The sequence below is a fragment of the Homo sapiens genome, chromosome 20, assembly GCF_000001405.40.
Source record: "Homo sapiens chromosome 20, GRCh38.p14 Primary Assembly".
NCBI lineage: Eukaryota > Metazoa > Chordata > Mammalia > Primates > Hominidae > Homo > Homo sapiens.
The window spans coordinates 64,013,506-64,040,064 of NC_000020.11; the positions used below are offsets into that span (position 1 = coordinate 64,013,506).

A 26,559-nucleotide genomic window follows, 5' to 3' on the forward strand; every position below is an offset into this window, starting at 1 on the left:
GTGCAGTCATGGCTCACTGCATCCTTGACCTGGGCTCAAGCAATCCTCCCGCCTTAACCTCCCAAGTGGCTGGGACTACAGGCGTGTGCCACCATGCTTGGCCAATTTTTTTTATTTTTATTTTTTGTCTTGTTATGCTGCCCAGGCTGGTCTTAAACTCCTGGCCTTAAGCAATCCTGCCACTTCAGCCTCCCAAAGTGTTGAGATTACAGGCATCAGCTGCCATACCCAGCATATGACAGGTTATTAAGCTATAACTAGCGTTCTACAGAATCCACCCATTTAAAGTTTACGATTCAGTGGTTTTAGTATATTCACAGAGCTATGCGCTATCACCACAATCCTAGAACCTTCTCATCACCCCAGAAAGAAATCCTGTGTCCGTGAGTTGTTGCTCCCCATTTTCATACCTCTGTAGCCTTTTGTTTTTGTTTTTGTTTTTTTTTTGAGACAGGGTGGGTCTCTGTCTCCCAAGCTGGAGTGTATGGTGCAATCAATCTTGGCTCTCTGCCACATTTGCTTCCTGGGCTCAAGCAATTCTCCTGCCTCAGCCTCCTGAGTAGCTGGGACTACAGGCATGCGCCACCACACCTGGCTAATTTTTTTCTATTTTTTGTAGAGACGCGGTTTTGCCATGTTGTTCAGGCTGGTCTCAAACTCCTGAGCTCAGATGATCCACCTGCCTCGGCCTCCCAGAGTGCTGGGATTACAAGCGTGAGCCACCGTGCCTGTCTAACCTTGTTTTTTTACTTTCTTTCTCTACACATTTTTTTCTGGACATTTTATATACAGATGTTCAACTTATGGGCTTATATCCTGATAAACCCATTGTAAGTTGAAAATATCATAAGTCTAAAATGGATTTGAGGCTGGGTGCTGTGGCTCACACCTATAATCTCAGCACATTGCGGGGCTGAGGCGGGTGGATCACTTGAGGTCAGGAGTTTGAGACCAGCCTGGCCAACATGGTAAAACCCTGTCTCTACTAAAGATACAAAAAAATTAGCCAGGCATGATGGTGGGCACCTATAATTCCAGCTACTCGGGAGGCTGAGGCAGGAGAATTGCTTGAACCTGGCGGAGGCAGAGGTTGCAGTGAGCCGAGATCGTGACACTGTACTCCAGCCTGGGCAAAAGAGCGAGACTCTGTCTCAAAAAATAAATAAAATAAAATAAAATGAAATAAAATGCGTGTGATACACCTAACCTACTGAACTTTACAGCTTAGCCTGCCTACGTCAAACATGCTCAGAACACCTACCTTAGCCTACAGTTGGGCAGAGTCATCGAACGTAAAGTGTTGAATAACTCACGTAATTTATTGAATGCTACGATGAAAGTGAAAAACAGACTGGTGGTTTGAGTCAAAGTATTGCTTCTACTGAGCGTGGTGGCTTTTGCATCGTCCGACACCGTGAGTGGAATCACACGACACGTGGTCTTTTGTGACTGGCCTTAACTTAGTGTGTTTTCAGGGTTCCTCCATGTTGTAGCATGGAGGTATTGAAATCCTTTGCCTACTTTTACATTGGATTGTGTCTTTATTATGGTCTATGTATTATTTTTGTCTGTTGTTTTATTATTGAGTTGTAAGAGATGTTTTTATATATTCTGGATATATTGTCACTTATCAGAGACATGATTTGCAACTACAGATGGTCCCTGACTTCCCATGGTTTGACTTTTGCCGTGGTTCAAAAGCAGTTTGCATTCAGTAGAAACTGTCCATGGAGGAAGAGCCAGCGCAGTTTGCGTTCAGTAGAAACTGTCCATGGAGGAAGAGCCAGCACCTTTGCCGCAGGCCCCTGAGGGTCTGGGTGCTGGGTCCTTGCCCCACGCATTCTTCTCACCACTGACCTTTGTGCCAGCGTCTCTGCCTCAGATCCTTGCTCTTGGCTCTGCTTTCTGTCTGGGATGGTTTTCTGGTGCTGGCAGGGCCCTGGGAGGGTCTGGGAGGCATGTGGCTCCGGTTGCACTTTGCTCACGGTCCATGTCGTGGTCCCCCATGTTGGCATGCCGCAGTGGTGCCTGTGCTCCTGCACCCTGTTGCTCTGGCTGGGTTATTGTTCTCTTGTTGGTAGACACATTCTCTTGCACACATGGGAATATATTTGTCACATGAATGCCTTAAAGTAGAACTGCTGGGTCAAATATGTGCCTGTTTTATTTTGATAGAGAATGAGAAATTGCCCTCCATAGAGATATGTGCTTCTTTGCAGTATAAGATTTATGCCCCCTTCACCAAGTGAGCCAGTCAGCACATGTTTCAATGTTGCTCATCTGATACGTGCACAATGGTACTTAGAATAGTTTAATTAGCATCTTGAAAATAAGAATAGGGGCTGGGTGTGGTGGCTTATGCACTAATCCCAGCACTTTGGGAGGCTAAAGCAGGAGGGTTACTTGAGACCAGGAGTTTAACACCAGCCTAGGCAACATAAGGAGACCCTGTATCTATGAAACATAATGTACCATTGAGCATGGTGGTGCATGTCTGTGCTACTCGGGAGGCTGAGGTGAGAGTATCCCTTGAGCCTGGGAGTTGGAAGCTGCAGTGAACTATGATTGTACCACAGCACTTCAGCCTGAGTGACAGGGAGAGACCTTGACTCTCTCTCTTTTTTTTTTTTTTCTGAGACGTAGTCTTGCTCCGTTGCCCAGGCTGGAGTGGAGTGGCGTGATCTTGGCTTACTGCAACCTCCGCCTCCCGGGTTCAAGTGATTCTCCTGCCTCGGCCTCCCGAGTAAGCTGGGATTACGGGCACCCACCACCACGCCTGGCTAATTTTTGTATTTTATTTTTTAGTAGAGACAGGGTTTCACCAGGTTGGCCAGGCTGGTCTCGAACTCCTGACCACGTGATCCACCCTCGACCTCCCAAAGTGCTGGGATTACAGGTGTGAGCCCCCACACCTGGCTGAGACCTTGTCTCTTAAAAAAATAAAATAAAAAGGCTTTACATTTCTTTTCACATGTTTGAAAGTTGTTTGTATTTTTATTTTCTAGTGAACAGTGTGCCTATGTCCTTTGTGACATTTCTCTATTGTTTTTTCTGATTGGCGTGCAGTAGACTCACTTCCTCAGATCCCCAGTAGGCAGTGTCAGCATCTTGTGCTGATGTCTGTCAGTTTTAACCGTTCAGGAACTCCGTACTCCCCGTTGGGAATCTGCAGCTCTGATTTCCAAAATCACAAATAAGTTTTGTGTTCCTCTTTCAGGATGCCGAGGAATGTGACAGGGCTGGGAGTGTGGCCACCTGCCAGGCCGTCATGCGTGCCGTGATTGGGATTGGGATTGAGGAGGAAGATCGGAAGCATACCTGGATGGAGGATGCTGACAGTGTGAGTTGGCAACAGGGGCCTTTGTCCGTAATATGGAGTCTCTGCTTGTGGGAACAGCAGGCACCTTATAAACTACTAGGCTATTTTAAAACTCTTTTTTTTTTTTTTTAAATCTGAGACGGGGTCTTGCTCTGTCGCCCAGGCTGGAGTGCAGTGGCGCTATCTCAGCTCACTACAACCTCCACCTCCTGGGTTCACGCCATTCTCCTGCCTCAGCCTCCCGAGTAGCTGGGACTACAGGCATGTGCCACCACGCCCAGCTAATTTTTTGTATTTTTAGTAGAGACGGGGTTTCACCGTGTTAGCCAGGATGGTCTTAATCTCCTGACCTCGTGATCCACCCCGCCTTGGCTTCCCAAAGTGCTGGGATCACAGGCGTGAGCCACCGCGCCCGGCCTCCCAGAGTGCTGGGATCACAGGCGTGAGCCGCCATGCCTGGCCTCCCAAAGTGCTGGGATCACAGGCGTGAGCCACCGCGCCCGGCCTCCCAGAGTGCTGGGATCACAGGCGTGAGCCACCGCGCCCGGCCTCCCAGAGTGCTGGGATCACAGGCGTGAGCCGCCGCGCCCGGCCTCCCAGAGTGCTGGGATCACAGGCGTGAGCCGCCCTGCCCGGCCTCCCAGAGTGCTGGGATCACAGGCGTGAGCCGCCGCGCCCGGCCTCCCAGAGTGCTGGGATCACAGGCGTGAGCCGCCGCGCCCGGCCTCCCACGGTGCTGGGATCACAGGCGTGAGCTGCCGCGCCCGGCCTCCCACGGTGCTGGGATCACAGGCATGAGCCGCCGCGCCCGGCCTCCCAGAGTGCTGGGATCACAGGCGTGAGGCGCCACGCCTGGCCGCAGATTTGCTTTCTTACTCTGTTCGCTCTCATGCACTTACCTCTTATTTTTTTTTCTGGAACTGTTTGACAATGAATGAGTTGCAGATGTGGTGCCCTTTACCTTAAACACTTTGGTGTGTATTTCTTTAAAAGAGGACGTTCTCTTACACAGCCATAGCTCAGTTATCAAAATCAGGACATTGATGTTGGGACAGTGCTGTCAGGTAACTTCAGACCTTACTCAAATCTCACCCACAGGCTGGGCATGGGGCTGACGCCTGTAATTCCAGCACTTTGGGAGGCCGAGATGGGCAGATCGCTTGAGCTCGGGAGTTTGAAACCAGCCTGGGCAACATGGCAGAACACCATCTTTACAGAAACAAAAGCCAGGCATGGTGGTGCACGCTTGTAGTCCCAGCTACTCAGGAGGCTGAGGTGGGAGGATCACTTGAGCTCAGGAGTTTGGGGCCGTAGTGAGCTGTGATTGCGCCACTGCACTTCAGCCTGAGTGACAGCAAGACCCTATCTCAAAAAAAGAAAAAGTCTCACCCGTTGTCTCTGTGTCCTTTTAGCAGAAGAAAAAACCAACTGTCTTCTGTGAGGAATACAGGGTCATCCTCAGGCTAGTCTGGAAGAGAGCCTCAGCCTTTGTTGTTCCTGAGTGTGAATTTTTTGAGGACCACGGGCCAGTGATGCTGTAGACTCCTCTTTCATCTGGTTCTCTGTGGTGTCTCCTCCGGGTTGGGTTGAGGCTTCTTGGTGCATCATACGGAGAGGTGTGCACCTGTTCAACTCCGACCGTCTGGTGCGGGCAGTGGCCGCAGGTGTTTCCACTGTATGGTTGCTGTTTGTTTCTTTGTTATTATTAATAAGTATTTTGAGGATCCATTAATGATGCTTCTTGGCCTGAATCAGTTATTTCTGTGGTGTTTGCTAAATGGTGATTTTTTTTAAATCTTTTTTTATATATTAAATTTTTTTTGTAGAAACAGTATCTCACTATGTTGTCCAGGCTGGTTTCGAACTCCTGGCCTCAAGTGATCCCACCTCAGCCTCCCAAAGTATGTAGGATTACAGGCGTGTCACTGTGCCTGGTCACACCTGCATAATGATTTTGTGAACAGTTTCTCTTACATTTTATTAGTTGGAATTCTACAGTAACGAAGAGCTTCACTTTCTCCTTCATCCGTGTGCGTTCACTTCCTTCCATCTGGATTGGTCAATGGCTCCTCCTTTGGTCCTTGGAATCAGACCCCACTGCTGGCATTGACCGTGTGATACACACATGATTCTTTTGCACCCCGTGTGGCGTGACCCAGAGCTTGTGTGCCGGCTGGGCCATCCTCCTGCCCCATGTATGCTAAAATACACACATCAATCCTTAGGTGAGTTAAGACGCAGGGCAGCGGTAATAGTTTTTGTTGTTGGTTTTTTTTTTTTTTTTTTTTGGGACAGAGTCTCACTCTGTCTCCTAGGCTGGATGGAGTCCAGTGGCACGATCTTGGCTCACTGCAACCTCCGCCTCCCAGGTTCAAGGGTTCAAGCAATTCTCCTGCCTCAGCCTCCTGAGTAGCTGGGACTACAGGTGCCTGCCACCACACCTGGCTAATTTTTATATTTTTTATAGAGATGAGGTTTCGCCATGTTGGCCAGGCTGGTCTCGAACTCCTGACTTCAGGCCATCCACCTGCCTCAGCCTCCCAGAGCCACTGCTCCTGGCCTGTTTTTCTCTTATTATTTTGTCATCTCTTTCACATACACTGGAGTAAGCACAGCTGTTTTTCAAAGTGCTCGTGATGCTAGAGTAAGGAGGACAGTGTTTTCTGTGCCCAGAAGTGTGCTGTGGTGCTGCTTCCCTCCCGGACACCAGGGCCCTGGGCACAGCATCACTTGATCCTGTGGGTGTTCAGGCCACTCTCGGGTTGCTTGTGAAGGTCCAAGGAGGCGATGGAGAATCTGAAATGCTTTGTCACCAACCCTCAGGACTTGGATCAGAAATCACAGAGAGGGGCATAGACCAGAGTGCTCTATCCAGGGCCTGACCCTCACCGGCATCCTCCCTGACCCCCTCAGATGCTCCTGGTCAGGACACAGTGCCTGAGGCAGGGCCCTTGCTGGTTTCTGTGCTGGTTGAGTCAGACTGAAGCCATGTGACTTGGGAGGCATCAGGTCTGAGTGAAGAAATCTCAGTGACATCCCCACTCCTCGTCCTCCTGACCCATTTTCATGCTGGGGCTCCTTAACTGGGAGGCTCACTGTTGTCCCTTCCTCTCGTAGAAGGCAGCTGTTCCTCTGGGAACTGTTCTTGGGTGCCCCTGTGTGGGGACTTGGACAGCTTTGAGCTGCCAGTCCAGATCTTTGCCATTGTCATGTTCATAGTTGCAAAACTTTGTTCCTGACCCACTTCCTGGTGGCCTCTCACTTACCTTCAGCAACAAACTCCTTCTTGGTACAAGAATCCTTTCAGCGGCCGGGCGCAGTGGCTCATGCCTGGAATCCCAGCACTTTTGGGAGGCCGAGGTGGGTGGATCACTTGAGGTCAGGAGTTCGAGACCAGCCTGGCCAACATGGTGAAACCTCGTCTCTACTAAAAATACAGAAATTAGCTGGGTGTGGTGGCAGGCGCTTGTAATCCCAGCTACTTGGGAGGCTGAGGCAGGAGAACTGCTTGAACCTGGGAGGTGGAGGTTTCAGGGAGCTGAGATCGCGCCACTGCACTCCAGCCTGGGTGACAAAGCGAGACTCTGTCTTTAAAAAAAAATCCTTTCAGCATCTGCAGGGCGCAGAGGACGGTGACTTGCCCCTGTGTGAGGCTGAGTGGGAACAGGTGTCTGAACCTGGCCCAGTGAGTCTCCAGGTGTCATGATCGCCAGTCAGACGAACCCCCAGAGGCTTTAGCGCTGCAAATGGTGACTGGCTTTTTTGTTTTCTTTTGTTGTTGATGCTAACCAAAAGATAAAGTCATTCTTGAGTATAGGGAAAAAAAAGCCTGAAGAAAATAGAACTGTGTTTACTGTAGTTCTGTTGAGTGGATGGGTTTTTTCCTGTTTGTATTCACTTGTCTTTTACAGGTTTCTAATTAATGTAACTTTTTATCGTGGTAAATATATACTATACCTAATTTTTTTTTTTTTTTTTTTGAGACAAGGTCTCTCTCTGTCGCCCAGGCTGGAGCGCAATGGCGCAATCTTGGCACCCTGCAACCTCCGCCTCCTGGGTTCAAGCAATTTTCATGCCTCAGCCTCCCAAGTAGCTGGGATTACAGCCATGCACTACCATGCCCAGCTAGTTTTTGTATTTTTAGTAGAGACAGGGTTTTACCATGTTGGTCAGGCTGATCTCAAACTCCTGACTTCAGGTGATCCACCCAGCTTGGCCTCCCAGGGTGCTGGAATTACAGGCGTGAGCCACCGCTGTAGCCACTATACCTGATTTTTAAAAAAGAAACCAATATGTTTGATCTGCAGTTACAGCATGTGTGTGTGTGTGTACACGTACATATGCCTGGGCCACAGCCCTCTGTGTGTGTGTGCACTTGTATGTGCATATGGCTCGGCCACAGCCCCATGTCTGTGTGTGCGTGTGTGCGTGCACGTATGCCTATGCCTTGGCCACAGCCCCGTGCGTGTGTGTGTGTGTGTGTGCATGTATGCATATGCCTCAGCCACAGCCGTGTGTCTGTGTGTGTGTGCGTGTGCATGTGTGTGCATGTATGTATATGCCTGAGCCACAGCCCTGTGTCTGTGTGTGCGTGTGTGTGCACGTATGCATATTCCTCGGCCACAGCCCCCGTGCATGTGTGTGCATGTATGCGTATGCCTCAGCCACAGCCCTGTGTCTGTGTGTGTGCATGTATGCATATGCCTCAGCCACAGCCCCGTGTCTGTGTGTGTGTGTCTGTGTGTGTGTGTGCACATATGCATATGCCTCAGCCACAGCCCCATGTCTGTGTGTGCGTGTGTTTGTGTGTGTGCGTGCACATATGCATATGCCTCAGCCACAGCCCCGTGTCTGTGTGTGCGTGTGTGTGCACGTATGCATATGCCTCAGCCACAGCCCCGTGTGTGTGCGTGTGTGTGTGTGCACGTATGCATATGCCTCGGCCACAGCCCTGTGTGTGTGCGTGTGTATGCGTGCACGTATGCATATGCCTCGGCCACAGCCCTGTGTGTGTGCGTGTGTATGCGTGCATGTATGCATGTGCCTCGGCCACAGCCCCGTGTCTGTGTGTGTGTGTGTGTGCACGTATGCATATGCCTCAGCCACAGCCGTGTGTGTGCGTGTGTGTGTGTGTGCACGTATGCATATGCCTCGGCCACAGCCCTGTGTGTGTGTGTGTGTGTGTGTGTGTGCATGCACGTATGCATATGCCTCAGCCACAGCCCTGTGTGTGCATGTGTGTGCACACCTCCATCACCTGCAGCTAGTGACTTGTGCACCTCTCGCAGGCCAAGGAAGCAGCAAGCAGCCCCATGTGCCCCTTTTTCAGTGTTCTTGTTTCTTGTCCTCATCCTCAGGCTTGTCTCTTTCATGTACACTGGAGTAAGCACAGCTGTTTTTCAAAGTGCTTGTAATGCTGGAGTAAGAACTACAGTGTTTTCTGTGCCCAGAAGTAGGTTTCCCAGTCCTGGATTGTGGTTCTACTTTCTTTCTGGAGGGGGAGGACAGAGTGTGACTCTGTCGCCCAGGCTGGAGTGCAGTGGCGTGATCTCGGCTCACTGCAACCTTTGCCTTCTGGGTTCAAGTGAATCTCCTGCCTCAGACTGCCGAATAGCCGGGATTACAGGCGCATGCCACCACGTCTGGTTAATTTTTGTATTTTTAGTAGAGATAGGTTTTCACTATGTAAGTTAGGCTGGTCTCGAACTCCTGACTTCAGATGATCCACCCGCCTCGGCCTCCCAAAGTGCTGAGATTACAGGCGTGAGCCACCGCACCTGGCCTGGATTGTGGTTCTAATTAGATAAAACACTGTGGTACACCTTCTAGCAGATATCATCTTTCAGAATCGTATGAGCCTGGGGAGGGCATCATGCCACTTGTTCTGTGGCCAGTGCTGGGCTGCCCATTCTCATGTCTCTCTCTGCTCTAGTGTGTAGCCCACAATGCCCTGGAGTGTGCACGAGCCATCTACGCCTACGCCCTGCAGGTGTTCCCCAGCAAGAAGAGTGTGTGGCTGCGCGCCGCGTACTTCGAGAAGAACCATGGCACTCGGTATGTGGTGGGACCCGCCTGCCCAAGGGTGCTAATGAAACCTCCAGCTCCATTTGTGTAGCCCTGAATTTAAACCTCTCATGTCTGCTCATCCAGTCTTGTGCCCATTTGAGGTCTGGCCCTCTGGTTGTGATGAAGGATTTTATGGCATTTGGGACTTTGCAACTGGATCCATCTTTATAGCCCCTTCTGGGACAGCAATGATACCATTTTCTAGCTGAGAAACAAGGAACCCCGGGGGCCCGTCCTGCTAAGTGTCCTGTAGCCTGAGGAGTGGCCTGGGTATAGACTTGAGGCTGGAGCCCGCGTGGCCCATGGCCGAGCACTGGCTGCAGCGGTGGGTGGGGCAGCATCTGGGCTCAGGCAGGCATATTTTCCATTTAAGCTGTGCTGGCTTTGGGTTTTGACTGGTTTTTGTGCTCAGAGGAGGTCCTTGACAATTTTATTTAACTGCACTCTTTAATTGAAAACATCTTTCAGGTCCGCTTTATTGGCTGTAAATGCTGATTAAATTTGGCGTTGCAGTTTATTGTTTTAAATGGATAGCTCTCAAGGGCATTGGGCTCGTGTCCCCACGCACCCTCTGTCCGTCCTCTCCCAGGTCCTCGGGTGATGCTCCCTGTACCAGGTGAGGACAGGCCCTGCTGGTTTCACTGGGGCTACAGCTGAGAATGTTGAGCCATTGTCTCTTTGCTTTTCTGGTGTGATTTAATCTCAGCCTCTTCAGGGTGTCTTTCCATGTGTCCTCCTGAAGACCTGGCCCCCTCCCCATGCCCACCAGCTGGTCTGTGTTTGGGAGTGATCTCCTTTGGGGACGTTTTGAAATGGCTGCCATGGTGCCCCTCTGTAGAAGGTCACCTGGGGCAGTCTGAGTGAAGAACAGGGCGGTGCCAGGTGTAGGCTGAGGTCTCTCGGCCCGTGACCTGAATATGAACTGCTGCCCTTGACCCCTGGGCACAGTGGGCAGTGCCCTCCGACTTCCCTGCCTTCTCCCGAGTGCATGCTTGCAGGGATGAGGAGAGGCAGTAGTGCTGGGGGAGCTGGTCCTCTGGAGAGCACGGTTGCTTTGCTGGCCCTTGCTCCACACAGTGTGATTGTGTGTGGTCACTTTGTCTTGCTGTCGCACTCACTGAGGCCCAAAGGGGTCATTGATGTGACTGAGGGTGGTGGGCCACATGAGAGTCCAGGAGCATCAGACCTGATGCCCACGGCTGGCAGTTTTGCTCAATAGTGACCTGAAATCACTTTCTTCCTATAAGATAATTCTTTTGGATGCCGGGAGAGTGAACCTGGGATCATAATCTTTATCAGTGGGTCCGGGGTGCGCTTGTGCTCTGTGGTTCAAGATGAAAAGGCCTCCCCTGTCACAGACTGAGGTTATTGCTGCTTCCAGGACACACGGCTGTAAAAGGTTCTCTTGTGAAGTTCGTCTCTCCAGCTCTGCTATTTAAACAATGCATTCCTTTGTAGAACCCTCTTCAGTAGTTGATTTTAGAACCTTTATGGAGAGGAAAGATTTCCCCACACTCTCCCCATTGTAAAATCTGGTCAATCATTTATAGCATCGAACTTTGGAGCAGTAACTGTCTTTCTGGCGTGCCCACGCCATGGCTGAGTGTGATGTGTGTTCTGGTTTATGGCCCTGCCTCTGGTGACCGTGGCCTCTTATCTTGCAGGGAGTCCCTGGAAGCACTCCTGCAGAGGGCTGTGGCCCACTGCCCCAAAGCAGAGGTGCTGTGGCTCATGGGCGCCAAGTCCAAGTGGCTGGCAGGGGATGTGCCTGCAGCAAGGAGCATCCTGGCCCTGGCCTTCCAGGTGGGTGAGGGTTGCCTGTGTGGTGAGGGGCCTGTGCACACAGGAGCTGACCTGGGTGCTGACTGGGGCCTGAAAATCTCCCACATACAATGTGGCACGTGCTGTTGTTGGGGTGCACTGGAGTCCAGGGGCTGCTCCACAGGAGCAGGGGCCGTGAAGGGGCCCGAGAGCAGGAAAGCAGCCCACCTGGCAGATACTTACCTCTCGGTCCCCCCACTCAGTGTGACCACGGGTAAATGTTTCAGAACATGGAACACGGGGTCACACAGGCTGAGGGCGCCCTTATGTGAATGGATGTATTCAGACCGCCTCACTGAGCCAGGCCTGAGGGTGCCTGGTTGTCATGAGGGGGGTGTGTGTTTTTTTTAAGTACCTTGTCTTTATTTTCACATATAACATCCTAATAGTTTATAACATACTTTTTAATAAGCTATAGAATGCTATATAAAAGTCTGTTACTGTAGCTCAGGCTAATATCATAGAGTGTGCCCTTCTTTGAGCAAATACCATGAGAGGGGACTGGCCTGGGTTTAACCTTTCGCTCTCAGCTGCCTGTTTGAGATGGCATCACTCCTGTGAGTAACTGCAGCGTCCCCTCCACCTGCCCGCTCTCTGCCTGTCACGTGGCTTCCTTCCACCCGCTCTCTTGGGCGGCTGTGCTGATTGGGACGCATTCAGACAGCCCTGGGCACCGGGCTGGGGAGGCTTTGAGGGCAGAGCCTGCGTGTCCACTGGGCTCTGGGCTGTGTGAGCTTCCGTGGCTTGTGGACGCCTTCTCCACATGTCAGTGGCACCCTGGGAGTCCTCTCTCCTGCCCATGTGGGCTCATGAGGACAGGACAGCTGGCTTCCCTTCATCAAGCTCAGGGGAAAGAGCGAGGTTGCGTGTGATGAGTCTACCAGTATAGGATGCGAGTGCCCCATTCAGGGGCTTTGAGAGGGCGTGGGTGGATCCTGGGTAAGATGGCCCTGCACCTGCCCCCGTTATTGCTCGAGTGCTTTAGCAGCCTCTTCACTGTCCTCACTGTACCAGAGTGAACATGGGCCTGTGTGTTTCCAGGTGAGTCTGGATTCTTGCACTGGAGTCGGCTCTGTCATCTCCTCCCTGGGAAGGGCTTGGACCAGACTAATCCTGTAGCAGAGCAAGGCCTGGCTCAGTTCCTGCCTGCCTGCTTTTGATTAAGTGTGATCAGGCGCTGGTCCCTGTGTTCTGACCCCTCTTGACGCTGCTGTACTTGCCCTTCAGGCCAACCCCAACAGTGAGGAGATCTGGCTGGCAGCCGTGAAGCTGGAGTCCGAGAATGATGAGTACGAGCGGGCCCGGAGGCTGCTGGCCAAGGCGCGGAGCAGTGCCCCCACCGCCCGGGTACGCAGTGGCAGGCAGGGCTGGGCCGTCTGGGGTGCATGGTGTGCACATGCGGGCCCCACGCCTGGCTTGGGTGGTGATGGGAGTGAGATGACGGCAGGCAAACGAGACCACAGCACACTCATCTTTGTGATGTGACTAAAACATTCATGTGGCCGGGCGTGGTGGCCGGGCGCGGTGGCTCACGCCTGTAATCTCAGCACTTTGGGAGGCCAAGGCGGACAGATCACCTGAGGGTGGGAGTTTGAGACCAGCCTGACCAACATGGAGAAACCCCGTCTCTACTAAAAATACAAAATTAGCCGGGCGTGGTGGTGCGTGCCTGTAATCCCAGCTGCTCGGGAGGCTGAGGCAGGAGAATCGCTTGAACCCCGGGGGTGGAGGTTGCGGTGAGCTGAGATCGCGCCACTGCACTCCAGCCTGGGCAGCAAGAGGGAAACTGTCTCAGCAACAACAACAACAACAAACATGTTCATACGGCCGGGTGTGGTGGCTCACGCCTGTAATCCCAGCACTTTGGGAGGCCAAGGCAGGTAGATTGTGAGATCAGGAGTTCGACACCAGCCTGACCAACTCTGCTAAAAATACAAAATTAGCTGGGTGTGGTGGCTTGCACCTGTAGTTCCAGCTACTTGGGAGGCTGAGGCAGGAGAATGGTGTGAACCCAGCAGGTGGAGCTTGCAGTGAGCCGAGATCGTGCCACTGCACTCCAGCCTGGGTGACAGAGCGAGACTCTATCTCAAAAAAAAACAAAACAAAACAAAAACATATATTTATCCCCACCTTTTGTGTACACAAACAGGCTATGAAAAGCTTACAAAAGTACACACAGTACTGCAGGTAACAGTGTTGAGGATGAGTGTACCATGAAGCACGTACCCTGGAGCTGATGCCCTGCGTGACAGTGCATGTCTGCCCCACAGGTGTTCATGAAGTCTGTGAAGCTGGAGTGGGTGCAAGACAACATCAGGGCAGCCCAAGATCTGTGCGAGGAGGCCCTGCGGCACTATGAGGACTTCCCCAAGCTGTGGATGATGAAGGGGCAGATCGAGGAGCAGAAGGAGATGATGGAGAAGGCGCGGGAAGCCTATAACCAGGGGGTACGTCTCTGCCTGCACCCTGGGGCTGCAGCTGACCCGGCATTCACAAAACTGAGCCCCCTGGTGCAGGGTCATTGCCCTTCGCCTCTGAGGAGATGTGGAGGGCTGGGGGTTACAGCTGATGGAGCTGCAGACTCAGGACCCAAACCCTGGTCCCCTCGCTGAGTTCTGTGCTTTTCCTTATATGAAGCTGCACACACTGCTCAGAAGTGCAGAGTGTGGCACACCTGCAGTAAAGGCTGGTACGTACAGACCTGTGTGCACAGGTCCACAGCACCACCGCACACCTGTACACCCACAAATGCAGAGTGTGAGGGGTGTTTTTCCATGGACATGGCAGCCCTGAGGGACTCGGTCACCCACTGCAGATGAGAAGCTGGGCATGGCTGTGTCCCAGTTCTTCATAGACACCACCTGAGCTGCTCTCTTACTTGTTGGTTGCAGTTGAAGAAGTGTCCCCACTCCACACCCCTGTGGCTTTTGCTCTCTCGGCTGGAGGAGAAGATTGGGCAGCTTACTCGAGCACGGGCCATTTTGGAAAAGTCTCGTCTGAAGAACCCAAAGAACCCTGGGCTGTGGTGAGTCCTGGAGGGGGCAGCCTGGCCTCTGGGCACAGCTTCCCCATCAGGTGGGCCGCCGTCACCCAGCTGCTTGTGTGGAGTCACTCGTGCAGTGCTTCCAGGCTCAGGGGCTTGGGGGGCGGTAGGTGCTGGCCATGAAAAATCACGGTCCCTGCCTTAGGAGAGTTCGGCCTAGGTACTGTGACAGGCCTGTAGATGGTTTGATGCAGTTTAATTTGTGTTCTGATGGAGGGCGCCTGGGAGAGGGAGGGGTTAATGATGGCTGGGACGAGGGAAGGATGGACCCCGGAGAGCCAGCTCCACAGAGGAGGTGGCGTGGAGAGCCCTGGAGGTGGACAGGAGCCTGCTAGGTGCAGGCTCTGTTCATGGAGGTGCTGCGTCCAGCTCAGGGTGACGGGGCTGGAGCACTGTGCAGGCACTGCCGCAGACAGGCAGCTTCTGGGTGCCTTGTGCGGCCCTGGCTCTCCCAGTCTGGTCTTGTTTGTTCTGGATGCCTTCACCTGCATCTGGACAGCGTCAGGATCTGAGGTCTTGCCTTGGGGCGGTTGCCAGTGGGGCTGGCAGGGATGTGGGCCCCAGCGCCTTGTTTCTGTGGTGGATGAGCTCTGCTGTGGAGGGAATGGAGTTTTTGCTGCTGTGACTGGGTGGAGAGCCCTTTCAGACAAGGCTTCCCAGAAGCTACCAGAATATGTGCTGTTGGTAGACGGCTGTGGGACCTCCGGGGGCCTGTCTCCTCAGGTTGGAGTCCGTGCGGCTGGAGTACCGTGCGGGGCTGAAGAACATCGCAAATACACTCATGGCCAAGGCGCTGCAGGAGTGCCCCAACTCCGGTAAGGGGGTGCCCCGACTCCGGTAAGGGGGTGCCCTGACTCCGGTAAGGGGGTGCCTTGACTCCGGTAAGGGGGTGCTTCCTGGCTTCCCAGACTCCGCAGGGCTGGCACTTCCTGAGGGAGTGGGGGCTCAGGCTTCAGACGGACTTTATTAAAATGTGTAGTTTGTGTGAATCATTTCAGTCAAAAGTTTCAGCTATACTCGGCCGTTAAGACAACTTAATGAAATTCTTGGCCTCAAAATGGGAGAATTTGATTTCATTTCTGAAGTGTTATCATTTCTTTTTCTTTTAAAATTTAAAAGAAATTGGCCAGGTGTGGTGGCTCATGCCTGTAATCTCAGCACTTTGAGAGACTGAGGCGGGAGGATTGCTTGAGTCCAGGAGTCCATTGCTTGAGACCAGCCTGGCCAACATGGTGAAACCCCGTCTCTACTAAAATACAAAAATGAGCTGGGCATGGTGGCGGGCGCCTGTAATCCCAGCTACTCGGGAGGCTGAGGCAGGAGAATTGCTTGAGCCCGGGAGTGGGAGGTTGCAGTGAGCTGAGATTGCGCCATTGCACTCCACCCTGAATGACAGAGTGAGACTCTGCAGGGTGTCCAGTCTGTGCCCTCAGGGCTGCCATGGTTTTGGGTGGGCCAGAGTGCTCATCCTTTGTGGTTCTCCTTGCACAAGTTCTGCGAGCCGTGTGTGGGAGGCCCCTGTCGTGGTCTGAGGACGTCCCGGGTTAGAATCTGTAGGCTGGGCACCTTTCCGGAACCAGAGGCTGGAGTGCAAATCTTTGTTCTTTGTTTCTGAATTATAGGTATCCTGTGGTCTGAGGCCATCTTCCTCGAGGCAAGGCCCCAGAGGAGGACCAAGAGCGTGGATGCCCTGAAGAAGTGTGAGCATGACCCCCATGTGCTCCTGGCCGTGGCCAAGTGAGTGGGGCCCCCACAGGATTGCTGAACCTCGGGGTCCTAATGGGCTCTTTTTCCAGAGTCTGTCTGCCTCTTCCTGGTCATTGTAAAGATGCCCGGCAGCAGGGTGGGCTTCCCCGATCCTCGGCTGCCGTCGCTCCTGCTGTGGTCTGGGGCAGGCGCCTCTCCTGGCAGACACACCTGAGGGTGCCGTGGTCAGAGACTCACTGGGGACGCATGTGATTCACACTGGTGCGCTGGCCGCCGGGTCACAGACTCACTGGGGACGCGTGTGATTCACACTGGTGCGCTGGCCGCCAGGTCAGAGACTCACCGGGGACGCATGTGATTCACACTGGTGCTCTGGTCGCCGGGTCAGAGACTCACTGGGGACGCATGTGATTCACACTGGTGCGCTGGCCGCCGGGTCAGAGACTCACTGGGGACACATGTGATTCACACTGGTGTGCTGGCCGCCGGGTCAGAGACTCACTGGGGACGCGTGTGATTCACACTGGTGCGCTGGCCGCTGGGTCAGAGACTCACTGGGGACGTGACTCTGGAACCTTGCAGGCAGCAGCGGGTAGCCATGGGGCAGAGCATGCAGACTCTAGGCACATGTGGGCAAAGACCCGCCAGGTGTGGGGCACAGCAGGGAGCTCAGGGCCATCCCCGACCCCCAGGGTCCCTGTTTCCTTCTAGAAAGAGGATGACAGTCTGGGAAGGAGCTGGGCCTGAGTGTGGGTCAGGAGGCTGGGAAGTGACCATGTGGGGTGAAGGGAGTTCTTGGAAGAACCCTGGGTTCCTGAGGCTGCAGCTCAGGACGTGGGCTCACCTGGCAGAGGTGGCGTGTCTGGCCCCAGGAGCTCTCCTGTGTCCGGCTTCCCCTCCACCTGCCCCGCCATGGGTCATGCAGAGACAACAGCCTTCCTAGTGCTGGCTTTTGATTCTCTCCATCCCTTCTCCCCAGCACTGGGTGGCAGTGGTGCTTGGTCTCCAGAGGTCTGGGTGCCGCCCCCACAGGCTTGCCTGTAGGGGCACCTCCTCTCCCCTGCCCGCAGGCCCCCGACAGATGAGAGAGGCTCCCCACAGGGAGGCTTGTGTCTGCCTGGTGCTACCTTGGTCCTGCCCTGTGCGTTCACCTCCCAGAGTGACTTCTGGGTGACACTCTGATAGTGCAGCCATAAAACCTTATAAAAGGCTTTGCTAAAGTAAATAAGTCACTCCTTGCTATTCCCAAGCCAGTGTTTTGTGTGTCTGCTATCTGGGTTTGTGCTCTTTAAATCACAGTTTATCTAACACCGGGCAATTAAGAATACCACAAGGCTTAAAAAACAATCAGGTTATCAGAGTGTGAAATTATTCCGTTTGGCAACTGAGACGAACCCGAACAGCTGCCCGGAGTGGAGGCTCCTCGTGTTGTCTCTTGACTACGGTGCCTCTGGCTCCAGGGGGAGGTGACCCTGAGGAGAGGGTGGCAGCAACGCAGAGTCCCGGGCCTGCCAGCATGCTCAGCAGCCAGCGCCCGCCATCCCTTCTCCAGCAGCGGGTGGGGGTGCCATGCACACCCTTACCTGGCCTCTCATAGCATGGACCTCTTCGGGCCCGGTTTTTCAGGTGTGCATGTGTCTGGCAGGCACGGCGGTGTGAATCCAGTGGCCTGAGGGCTGTGGGCTGCAGGCCCAGGCCCTTGTGCTGCCTGGAGCCCATCTTCTCAGTGTTCACTGGGGTTGCTGCTGGAGGCCGGGTGGGGCAGGATGATCCAGCAGGTGTCTCAGTGAGGAGCTGAAACTGTATAACTTTCCCTCATCAAAGTTGCAGTTTAATTTTGTGTCAGGTTTAGTTTCATCTCCTTGTATCTGACCCTAATTTTACGGAGTTGGAAGATCTTTCCCTGCGTGTGAATTTTTTAAGAAACAGTTTGGGACAGGTGCGGTGGCTCATGCCTATAATCCCAGCACTGGGAGGCTGAGGCAGGTGGATCATGAGGTCAGGAGTTTGAGACCACCCTGACCAACACAGTGAAACCCCATCTCTACTAAAAATACAAAAATTAGCCGGGTGTGGTGGCGCATGCCTGTAATCCCAGCTACTCAGGAGGCTGAGGCAGGAGAATCGCTTGAACCTGGGAGGCAGAGCTTGCAGTGAGTCGAGATCGCGCCACTGCACTCCAGCCTGGGCGACAGAGCGAGACTCCTTCTCAAAAAAAAAAAAAAAAAAACAACAAAAAAAAACCAATTTGGTTAGACCCGTGAAGGGCAGCTTCAAGTTAATGATCTGGGGTAATTATTTCTGGATCAGCCGAGGCCCTGATCCTCAGGCCTTCTTGAGGGGAGCACCAGGGCTGCGGGTCAGGGATGAAGCTGATGGCCCTGAAGCCGTTCCCCTGCCCCAGAATACCGTCCTGCAGCCACTCACTCTGGGTTCACGTCCTTCTGCTGGAACAGGCTGTTTTGGAGTCAGCGGAAGATCACCAAGGCCAGGGAGTGGTTCCACCGCACTGTGAAGATTGACTCGGACCTGGGGGATGCCTGGGCCTTCTTCTACAAGTTTGAGCTGCAGCATGGCACTGAGGTGAGGCCCCTCGACAGACCGCCGCTCAGTGCCTTCTGGGACTGTGGCGGGGAGTTCCGCCAGCCCTGGGGGCTCTAGGAGGTGGCCACGGCCAGCGTGACTCTGCCCGGGGTCGGGAGGATGGACCGGGTGTGTGGGGCACAGAATCCTCGACACCTCCCCACAAGGCAGTCTCTGCCTCCACATCCGTTTTCTGGTTATAGCCTCACAGCTCCACACCCTGGAATTGAGGCACCCTGTCCGTTAGGGTGGCCTGTCTGCTGGAGTATTTTAACGAGTTATTTGCTGGCTGGAGCCTGGGCTCACTTTAGGAATGGGAATGGAGTTGGCCTTTTTCTTGGGCCTGAGCCTGAGTGTGGCTTTCTAGGACAGCCTGGGCAGCAGCCCCTCTGCTCCCACCCGCCCCGCTAGAGCCAAGCGTTGTCTGAGCTGTGCTGGAGGCAGTCAGGCTGTCCTGGTCCTCCCTGGAAAGTGTTGCCAGCCCACGTGAACCCTAACTCCTTGTTTGGAGAAGGCAGACGTGAGCACTTGTGTGAGGCACAGACATGGGGAGCCTGGCTCAGTTCCTCATCTGTGGGCTGAGGCTGGTGGGGTCCATGCTCCTCAGGAGGTGGGGCTCCTTTGAGGAACACACCTGAAAGAGCCTTGCCTTCCGGTGCAGGGCCTGTGCCCTCTGGCCCGCCAGTTGGGGTTGGTGCTGCCAGGGCCAGGTCTGCAGGGGCCAGGCGAGAAGCAGGCGAGGTCCGGGGAGTAGCGTGGGAGGACCCCTGCCTGACGTGCCCTGTGGTCCCCCCAGGAGCAGCAGGAGGAGGTGAGGAAGCGCTGTGAGAGTGCAGAGCCTCGGCATGGGGAGCTGTGGTGCGCCGTGTCCAAGGACATCGCCAACTGGCAGAAGAAGATCGGGGACATCCTTAGGCTGGTGGCCGGCCGCATCAAGAACACCTTCTGATTGAGCGGTTGCCATGGCCGGTCTCCGTGGGGCAGGGTTGGGCCGCATGTGGAAGGGCTCTGAGCTGTGTCCTCCTTCATTAAAAGTTTTTATGTCTCGTGTCAGAACAGGCAGCCTGCTGGTTTTCTCTGGGGCCCTTCTCTGGCTCCTGCTTCTGCTGCCCCAGTCTGGCCTGTCCTGGCCTGTCCCATGCCGTCCTGGGGTGGCTGTGATCGCCCTTGCTTGGACAGAAGCCTCTTGCAGACAGCCGGTGTCTCACAGAGGAGGCACTGTGGAGGTGCCCGGGTTCCCCAAGACTGTGGAGAAGGTGGTAGGGGTGCAGATGTTCTGGCCAAAAGCCCTGTGAGGACAGCTGGAGACAGTGGGGACCAAGCTGCATGCAGGACGCAGGTGCTCGCAGGAGCCTGGCAGCCGCCTGCAAGGGTCTTGGTCAGGGGACAGCTGGGGCCTCCCTGGGGTCTGAGTGCAAACAGGAGAACCCAGCTCTGCGCAGGGCCTCTCCACACAGCCTCCCGGGCCCCTCAGGCATGTGCTGAGTGACAGTGTCACCAGTAAGAGGCGTTCTTTCTTTTGGAGGTGAGTTCATTTTTTTATTTTTGAGACAGTCTCGCTCTGTCGCCCAGGCTGGAGTGCAGTGGCACGATCTCGGCTCACTGCAACCTCTGCCTCCTGGGTTCAAGCAATTCTCCTGTCTCAGCCTCCCGAGTAGCTGGGACTACAGGCGCCCGCTGCCAAACTCCTGACCTCAGGTGATCCATCTGCCTCAGCTTCCCAAAGTGCTGGGATTACAGGCGTGAGCCACCGCACCCGGCCGTGAGTTTATCTTTGCTAATTTATCATTCGCAGTTTAACCCTAAAGCCCTTGTAATGGTTCTCATCTCCAGGTTGAACAGTGATGGTTCTCATCTCTAGGTTGAACGTTGATCACCCGAGAGACTTGGCTTCTCTTCAGCCTTAGCTGTGTAAGGATAAAGGACGTCCTCAGGCCTGGGATCATGTGTGTGCATTCAGTTGGGAGCCAGCTGGTTCTTGTGTAGGCCGGGGCTAGAGACATCTGGCTGGAGGTCATGGCTGGCCCAGAGGGTGTGGGTGGACAGTCGTTGAGGCCAGCGGGCGGGGAGGAGGGCGCTGTCATGTGGGCTGAGGAGGCTGCTGGAGAGCAGCTGTCCCTGGATGTTCCTTGTGAGAGGGGAGCCCTGGAGGGTCCCGGCCTGTCTTGTGGTACCGATGGCAGGGCCTGTGGTGGTGGTCAGTCACTGACCCACAGCTCTGCCCACCTGCACATGGGGGCCTGTGCTAGGCCTTGTGGTCTGCCTGCCCTGCTCCTGACGAGTGAGAATGGCTGGGGTGGGAGATCCCTGCCTGCACGTGGGGCGGTCCTGGTAGACCAGAATGTGGGTGTGGGTCCCCCTTCCCTGTGGTTCTGGGGACCTTGAGGACATGGTCAATCCCGGGCAAGGGACCTGCCACCCCTGTATGGGGTCAGGAACTGCTGGTTGGTCTCTGCTGGGCAGGCAACCTGGGGTCCAGCTCAAATCGTTGGAATGTGGAAGTCCTTCCTCTCGCCCCGTCCTGAGGAGCAGCTGCAGGAGCTTCATGAGTGTTTTCACTGGAACTTGTGGAGGAGTTTCCTTTGATCCCTCATGGAGAGACGGAAGCATGAGGGAGCCCTCAACATTTATTCTGAAGATGAAGAGAGTCCTGCAGCTTTTTGGAGTTTGTGAAGTCAGCCCGGCCCTGTACAGATGTGGAAACCGAGGCCCAGGAAGTTTGTGAGCCAGCCCGGCCCTGTACAGGTGTGGAAACCGAGGCCCAGGAAGTTTGTGAGCCAGCCCGGCCCTGTACAGATGTGGAAACCGAGGCCCAGGAAGTTTGTGAGCCAGCCTGGCCCTGTACAGATGTGGAAACCGAGGCGTAGGAAGGAAGCCCTTCTCTGACCTCAGAGCTGAAATGGCCAGTGCTGGGTGGGCATTGAGGGGTCACACAGAAAAGAATGTTTCAGGCCATGTTCAGGGGATACTTCCTGCAGGGCCCTTGGAAAGTTCCGGAGCGCTTACATTGTCCATGTGTGAGTGTCTCCTCTTTCTTGCCTGTGTGGGGTTTTCTCAAATGCTTTGAGTTGGCCAAACCACAGTTGTGCGCCACTTAACAGTGCGGATACATTCTGAGAAAAACCTCGTTAGGTGATGTCGTCTTGCAAACATTAAAGAGTGCATTTACACAAGGCTGGCAGGCACGGCCTCCTGCACCCCCAGGCTGTGTGCCCGGGTGCCAGAGCCTGGGGCTCCTGGGCTGCAGACCTGCACAGCCTGTCACAGCATTTAATCACATCCAAACACGGAAAAGGCAAAAACGTAAAGATGCAGTGTTACAATCCTAGGGGACTCCTGTCACCTGTGTGGTCTGTTCTTGACTATTGTGAGTCACTGACTTTTCCCCCTGGGAAACTACCTTAACTTGTCTTCAACTGAAATTTTTTCAGCCTGCAAAGATGAGTTGTGCCTCAGAGGTTGCTCGTGTTCTGAGGTGCCTCTTCACCACTGCCTGTCAGGCTGCTAACCAGAGTGCCCCAGACCACAGCAGAAGCGACAGCAGCCAAGGATCGGGGGAGCCCACCCTGCTCCTGGGTATCTTTACGGCAGGCAGCAGAGTAACAGCCTCAGACTTACCTCTTCAGCCAGAGACCCCTCAGCCCAGGAGGAGTGAGGCCGGGCCAGCAGCGGGGGCCCGGGAAGCCCCATGTCTTGGGACCTGCTGGGGCAGGGCCCCCTGGATGTCAGGCTGCAGGTCCGGCAGCTGGGGAGGGGATGAGGGCCTCCCACCAGCTCTGCCCATCAGCCAGATCCCTGGGAGAGGCAGCACTTGCTGGCCACAGAGTCGGCCCCAGTCTCACCTGGCTCCCCTCCCCCACCAGCTGGGCCCTGCACTGCCCCAGCCCACGCGGCGCCTCACCCCTCCTTGACAGAACAGTATCTCTGGGACGGACAAGTTAATCCAAGACCCACAGTAGCCCTGGATCCCCTGGGAGAGGTGGCTGCCCAGCTCCAGGGCCAGGTTAATTGAAGTGATAGGGAGTGGAGAGAGGGAGGGGGCAGGGCTGGGATTGCGTGGCCTTTCCTTCCCTCTCCTGCTCCCTCCCTCAGCTTGGAGGAGCCAACTTCAAAAGCCTCCGCCTGGCCTGCCCCTCTGCAGTCCTCCAGGCAGCCTGTCCAGGGAAGCGGTTGGCTGGTGTTGGACCTGGTGCGGCAGTGCACACCCTGCCCAAGGACCCCAGGATCATGTGCGTGGCCTGCTGGCGGGAGTGAGGGAGGGCAAGACCCTGAAAGGCCCATGGTGAGCAGCTGTGGGCCTCCTCTAGGGAGGGGGCTTACTTGGGTGGAGGGGCTGGGGGTACACACAGCTCAGGAGACACTGCTTGTTCCCCTGAGCCCCACCAGGAAATCTCCGGTTGGCTCTGGTCACTGCGTCCCTGTGGGTGGCACTGGGTGCATGTGCCCTGGCTTCTGGCAGTTGGGGGAGGGGGGCTCCTGGGTGCCGGGCAACCCTGTTCTAAGCTGGGCTGAGGCTTGAGCCTGGAAGTGGTACTAACAGGCCAGTTGGGACTCCCAGGGCAGCCAGTCTGCCCCACCTGGGTGGGACACAGCAGGTGCTGGACATCCTTGCAGCTCCAGCTGGCCTGCTCAGGAGTCAGGCTCTGGTTCTCGCTATGACCTCTGACCCAGAGCAGGCAGAGGGAATGACGTGGCAATTCTGAGCCCACCAAGTTGGCTGTGGCGTGTGTGGTTGGGGGGGTCAGGTTTCAGGAAGGGGCCACAGCAAGCCATCTGCTCTTCCAGCCATTGCTGCTTTGTGCTCTGAGCAGGAGCTGCCACCGCCCACCAGGCCCCCAGCTCTATGCAAGGGTTGGGGTGCTGCTTGTTCAGGCTCCCCTGACAGGGCTAGGAAGCCGAGTCGAGTCCTCTTATCTTGGTTGGGTTCGCATGATTAATTTCCAGCCCTAGATCTGCTGTCTGACTCCATCCTGGGGGCCCAGGGGAAGGGTTGGGGCTGGCCCCTTTTGGGTGGCTGGGAACCTGGGGGCCGTCAGCTGTCTCCTTGATGTTTGGGCTTTATCCCTGCGGGCGCAGGCCCTCCATTTTGGGTCGGGGGAGGCCTGTGGCACAGGCTGCCCGGAGGGATGGCGTGGGGCGGCTGGTACAGGCAGAGGGGCCTTTTGCGACTGTTGGTTGGGGCTGGATGTGGTGGCTCCTTCCTCCTCTATAGCTTCTGGGTGTCCCCCTAGCTTTCCCCTTCCAATAGGGTGTGGCTTGGAGCTCTGAGCCCCTGCCCCAGTTGGGTTGGGGGTACAAGGAGTCCCCAGTTCCCACGTCTCTGTGAGCTAACCCAGAGGGCGCCAGTATGGGAGGTGTGGAGTTGAATGGGCATGGCCATGAGTGAGACAGGCTGTACTGGGACAACTTCCTACTGTACCCCCAAGAGCCTGCAGACCAGCCCCACTAGAGCTGTACGGGGCTGGTGGGGGGCCCTGCTCTGTGCGGTCCTGAGGGTGCTCCACCCCTTGCTGGCCCCACTCCCACGTGGACCACAGAGCCAGGCTCTCCTGACTCTGGGCCTGCCCCCTCTATCTCCTGATGGGTTCTTCAGGACTCAGTGACATCGCCTCCCAGCCGACATCACTCACCCCTTTCACATCTTTGCAGGGAGCATAGAACTGTCTGGTTTGCAGACCTATCTCTTGTGTCTCCTGATTTATCCCGCCAGGCCTGTGCCTACAGCCTTTCTTGATTGGTGACACGTCCATTTCATTCGCTCAGAGATCCCGTGGGGTGGGGCAGGGGGTGGGGCTTCTACGGAAACAAAGTGCAGGTGGGCTGGCTGCTCCCTGTGCTGGGAACACCCCCCAGGCCTAACCCCAACCTGCTGTCTCCTCCAGGTACCCCCTAAGCCTGCACTCTGGGCGCTCCTGCTGGCGCTGCTGGGGACCGCGCCAAGCCGCGCCTATTCCCCGGCCTGCAGCGTCCCCGACGTGCTCCGCCACTATCGCGCCATCATCTTCGAGGATCTGCAGGCCGCCGTGAAGTGGGGCGGGGCGGGGGCCGAAAAGACCAGGCCAGGCTCCAGACACTTTCATTTCATACAGAAAAACCTGACTAGACCCGGGAGCTCGGGACGGCGGGGACGGCCTCGGGCCTCCTGTGGCGCCCAGAAGGTATGGAGGAGGCGCCCCTACCCAAGCTCGCCGGCCTGCTCCTCTCTCAGTTTCCCCCCACCCCCACCCCGCCTTCCTCCCTTCCCTCCCCAGGAGCACAGTATCCTCCTGTCCATCTCGTCCCTGGGTCGGACCCTGCGCGGGGCGGTGGCCGGGGGCCGCCGCGGGGCCCTGGAGAGAGCTGCTTGGACCGTGGCTGTGCGCACCGAGGCGGTGATGCGGCGCCACTGCAGGACGCTGCGCCAGGTGTGCGTCCCTGAGTGCACCCAGAGCCAGACCTCCCTTAACCCCCACAGGGCCGCCGCGCGTCCCGGGGCTCCACGGCCCTAGGCTGAAGTCGGGCTGGGTCGCGTCTCCCTTCCCGGGCCGGGCCGGGCGCGGGGGCCGTGCGCATTCGCTGACCGCCCTGTCCCCGACAGCGGAGCCGGCGGCCCAAGATGCGCCCTGCCCGGCGTCGCGGCGGCCGAAGGCAGCTCCTGCTGCGCGCCCTGGACGCCGTCGCCACCTGCTGGGAGAAGCTCTTCGCGCTGCGCGCCCCGGCCTCCAGGGACTCCTAGCGCGGCCCGTCCTGGCCCTGCGCGGGGAGGAGAACCAGCGGGGCCGCGGCAGAGCCTGGAGACGCGCCTCGTTCTGTAGACTTGTTGGTGACCTCGGCCCCTCGCTCGACGCAGCCCGCGCTCCCCGGAGGGCCCAGGACTTGGAGAAGGGAGCGCGCCTGGCCGCCGCTGGGTCACGGAGGAGGCCCGCCCTCCACGCGCCGAAGGCCTCAATAAACGGAGCTGGCGCTGCGGGTCCGGCACTCCCTTCGCCTGCCTCTCTGTGGGCCTAGGACCGCCCCGGGATCTGCGCCTCGGTGGCGGGGGGCGGTGGAGGGGGAATGCGGAGACCCGCACTTCCTGTGGCACCTGGACGGGGCGGAGCCGCCGCTCCCAGCCTCGGGCAGCAGAGGGCGGACGCGGGACGCTGGGCGCGCTCCGGCTCTGTCAGCGGCTCCCGGCTGGGCGGAGGGCAGAGCGGGGGACTCCTGGGGCCCCTAAAACGTCACGTATCCGTCCTGCTCCACTTTGGACCGGGGCCGGGGGTGGAAATTGAGGGGAGGGGAAGGCTGGACTTGGTGAATTCGGAGCAAAACAACCGGATAAAGGAAACGGGCCCGAAGGGAAGCGGGAGCTGCGGGCCTTGGCTGTGAGCTTGGCCAGGCTATTTCCTGCTGCCTCCGGAGGGGTGACCACGGCCTGGGCTCAGAGACTGCCCAGCCCCCTCTGCAGGACTGGCCAGGCTGGGGCCCGCTTTCTGGCCCCTGGAACCCTCCATTTGCTGGGGGACTGTCCCCTGGTTCCCCCATCTGATGCGCAGGTCTGGGAGTCTGTCACCCCCCTCCCCCAATCTCGGCCCATGGAGGAGCAGGGGAGGTAAAGTACCTGACACCTGTTACCCTCCCCTTCCCGGAAAGGCCGCGAGCAGGCTGTGCCTCTGGCATTCTGTGGGATCAGGGGCAGCAGCAGAAGAAAGAAGTAACCTCCCAAGCTGACCCTGACCCAGCCCCACACTCTGTGTTAATGTATTTAGTCTGTGCAACGGGAGCTACTGTCTCTGTTTTATAGATGGGGAAACTGAAGCACGAGGAGGCTGAGACTTGCCCCAAATCACAGCCAGCAATGTAAGAGCTGGCCTCAGACCCAGGCCCAGGGCATGGGATCTGCCACATGTCCCCTGCCTGGAGGCTGGGGGCCAAGCTTCCTGGACTTCAGAGCCTTGGATTCCCCTGCAGAGTTAGCACTTCTGACAGAGTCCCTGGCCATGCTCTGAGCACAAACACCTAGCAAGCATTCCCAGCCCTAGTTCTGCATTGCCTGCTCCGT

At 56.0% G+C, this 26,559-nt stretch overlaps 2 protein-coding genes across 5 annotated transcripts in view, besides 8 other annotated features; both read left to right on the top strand.

Annotated features, from left to right (window-relative positions):
* The window catches only part of PRPF6 (pre-mRNA processing factor 6), a 51,969-nt gene extending 32,374 nt beyond the window's left edge, over positions 1-19,595 (top strand). For 2 of the 3 annotated variants that reach the window (NM_012469.4, XM_006723769.4), the window contains 10 exons: positions 3,218-3,340; positions 9,252-9,373; positions 11,050-11,188; positions 12,434-12,553; positions 13,477-13,653; positions 14,098-14,231; positions 14,973-15,064; positions 15,872-15,986; positions 18,413-18,539; positions 19,336-19,595. In NM_012469.4, the coding sequence (NP_036601.2) occupies positions 3,218-3,340; positions 9,252-9,373; positions 11,050-11,188; positions 12,434-12,553; positions 13,477-13,653; positions 14,098-14,231; positions 14,973-15,064; positions 15,872-15,986; positions 18,413-18,539; positions 19,336-19,488 (1,302 nt within the window). In that variant the 3' untranslated portion in view covers positions 19,489-19,595. Of the gene's footprint in view, positions 1-3,217; positions 3,341-9,251; positions 9,374-11,049; positions 11,189-12,433; positions 12,554-13,476; positions 13,654-14,097; positions 14,232-14,972; positions 15,065-15,871; positions 16,181-16,286; positions 17,304-18,412; positions 18,540-19,335 lie in introns of those variants that run through there. The other variant, XR_007067448.1, reaches the window with a different exon arrangement.
* Positions 3,194-4,393: an enhancer, noted in NCBI's record as "P300/CBP strongly-dependent group 1 enhancer chr20:62648052-62649251 (GRCh37/hg19 assembly coordinates)". NCBI's record gives its function as "activates an origin of replication core promoter dependent on BRD2, BRD4, P300/CBP, MED14 and CDK7 cofactors, with strong dependence on P300/CBP, by STARR-seq in HCT116 cells {active_cell/tissue: HCT116}" and the evidence as "EXISTENCE:reporter gene assay evidence [ECO:0000049][PMID:35650434]".
* C20orf204 (chromosome 20 open reading frame 204) lies at positions 20,204-25,496 on the top strand. 2 transcript variants are annotated; one of them, NM_001348090.2, is made up of 7 exons: positions 20,204-20,301; positions 20,401-20,450; positions 21,003-22,542; positions 22,632-22,821; positions 24,422-24,697; positions 24,791-24,943; positions 25,117-25,496. In NM_001348090.2, exons 4-7 carry the CDS (start codon positions 22,819-22,821, stop codon positions 25,252-25,254), a joined length of 570 nt encoding a protein of 189 aa, NP_001335019.1. In that variant the 5' UTR covers positions 20,204-20,301; positions 20,401-20,450; positions 21,003-22,542; positions 22,632-22,818; the 3' UTR covers positions 25,255-25,496. The 2 variants fall into 2 exon arrangements, with proteins under 2 accessions (NP_001335019.1, NP_001373939.1); NM_001387010.1 differs by lacking the exons at positions 20,204-20,301; positions 20,401-20,450; positions 21,003-22,542 and having other exon boundaries at positions 22,677-22,821.
* Positions 21,840-22,069: an enhancer, noted in NCBI's record as "active region_18260". NCBI's record gives its function as "activates an Ori minimal core promoter by ATAC-STARR-seq in GM12878 lymphoblastoid cells {active_cell/tissue: GM12878}" and the evidence as "EXISTENCE:reporter gene assay evidence [ECO:0000049][PMID:35858748]".
* Positions 22,957-23,550: an enhancer, noted in NCBI's record as "H3K27ac-H3K4me1 hESC enhancer chr20:62667815-62668408 (GRCh37/hg19 assembly coordinates)". NCBI's record gives its function as "activates a minimal SCP1, AML or CMV promoter by ChIP-STARR-seq in naive H9 embryonic stem cells {active_cell/tissue: H9 hESC(naive)}" and the evidence as "EXISTENCE:reporter gene assay evidence [ECO:0000049][PMID:30033119]".
* Positions 23,020-23,119: an enhancer, noted in NCBI's record as "active region_18261". NCBI's record gives its function as "activates an Ori minimal core promoter by ATAC-STARR-seq in GM12878 lymphoblastoid cells {active_cell/tissue: GM12878}" and the evidence as "EXISTENCE:reporter gene assay evidence [ECO:0000049][PMID:35858748]".
* Positions 23,551-24,144: an enhancer, noted in NCBI's record as "H3K27ac-H3K4me1 hESC enhancer chr20:62668409-62669002 (GRCh37/hg19 assembly coordinates)". NCBI's record gives its function as "activates a minimal SCP1, AML or CMV promoter by ChIP-STARR-seq in naive H9 embryonic stem cells {active_cell/tissue: H9 hESC(naive)}" and the evidence as "EXISTENCE:reporter gene assay evidence [ECO:0000049][PMID:30033119]".
* Positions 24,790-24,859: a silencer, noted in NCBI's record as "silent region_13199". NCBI's record gives its function as "represses an Ori minimal core promoter by ATAC-STARR-seq in GM12878 lymphoblastoid cells {active_cell/tissue: GM12878}" and the evidence as "EXISTENCE:reporter gene assay evidence [ECO:0000049][PMID:35858748]".
* Positions 24,960-25,279: a silencer, noted in NCBI's record as "silent region_13200". NCBI's record gives its function as "represses an Ori minimal core promoter by ATAC-STARR-seq in GM12878 lymphoblastoid cells {active_cell/tissue: GM12878}" and the evidence as "EXISTENCE:reporter gene assay evidence [ECO:0000049][PMID:35858748]".
* Positions 25,470-25,749: a silencer, noted in NCBI's record as "silent region_13201". NCBI's record gives its function as "represses an Ori minimal core promoter by ATAC-STARR-seq in GM12878 lymphoblastoid cells {active_cell/tissue: GM12878}" and the evidence as "EXISTENCE:reporter gene assay evidence [ECO:0000049][PMID:35858748]".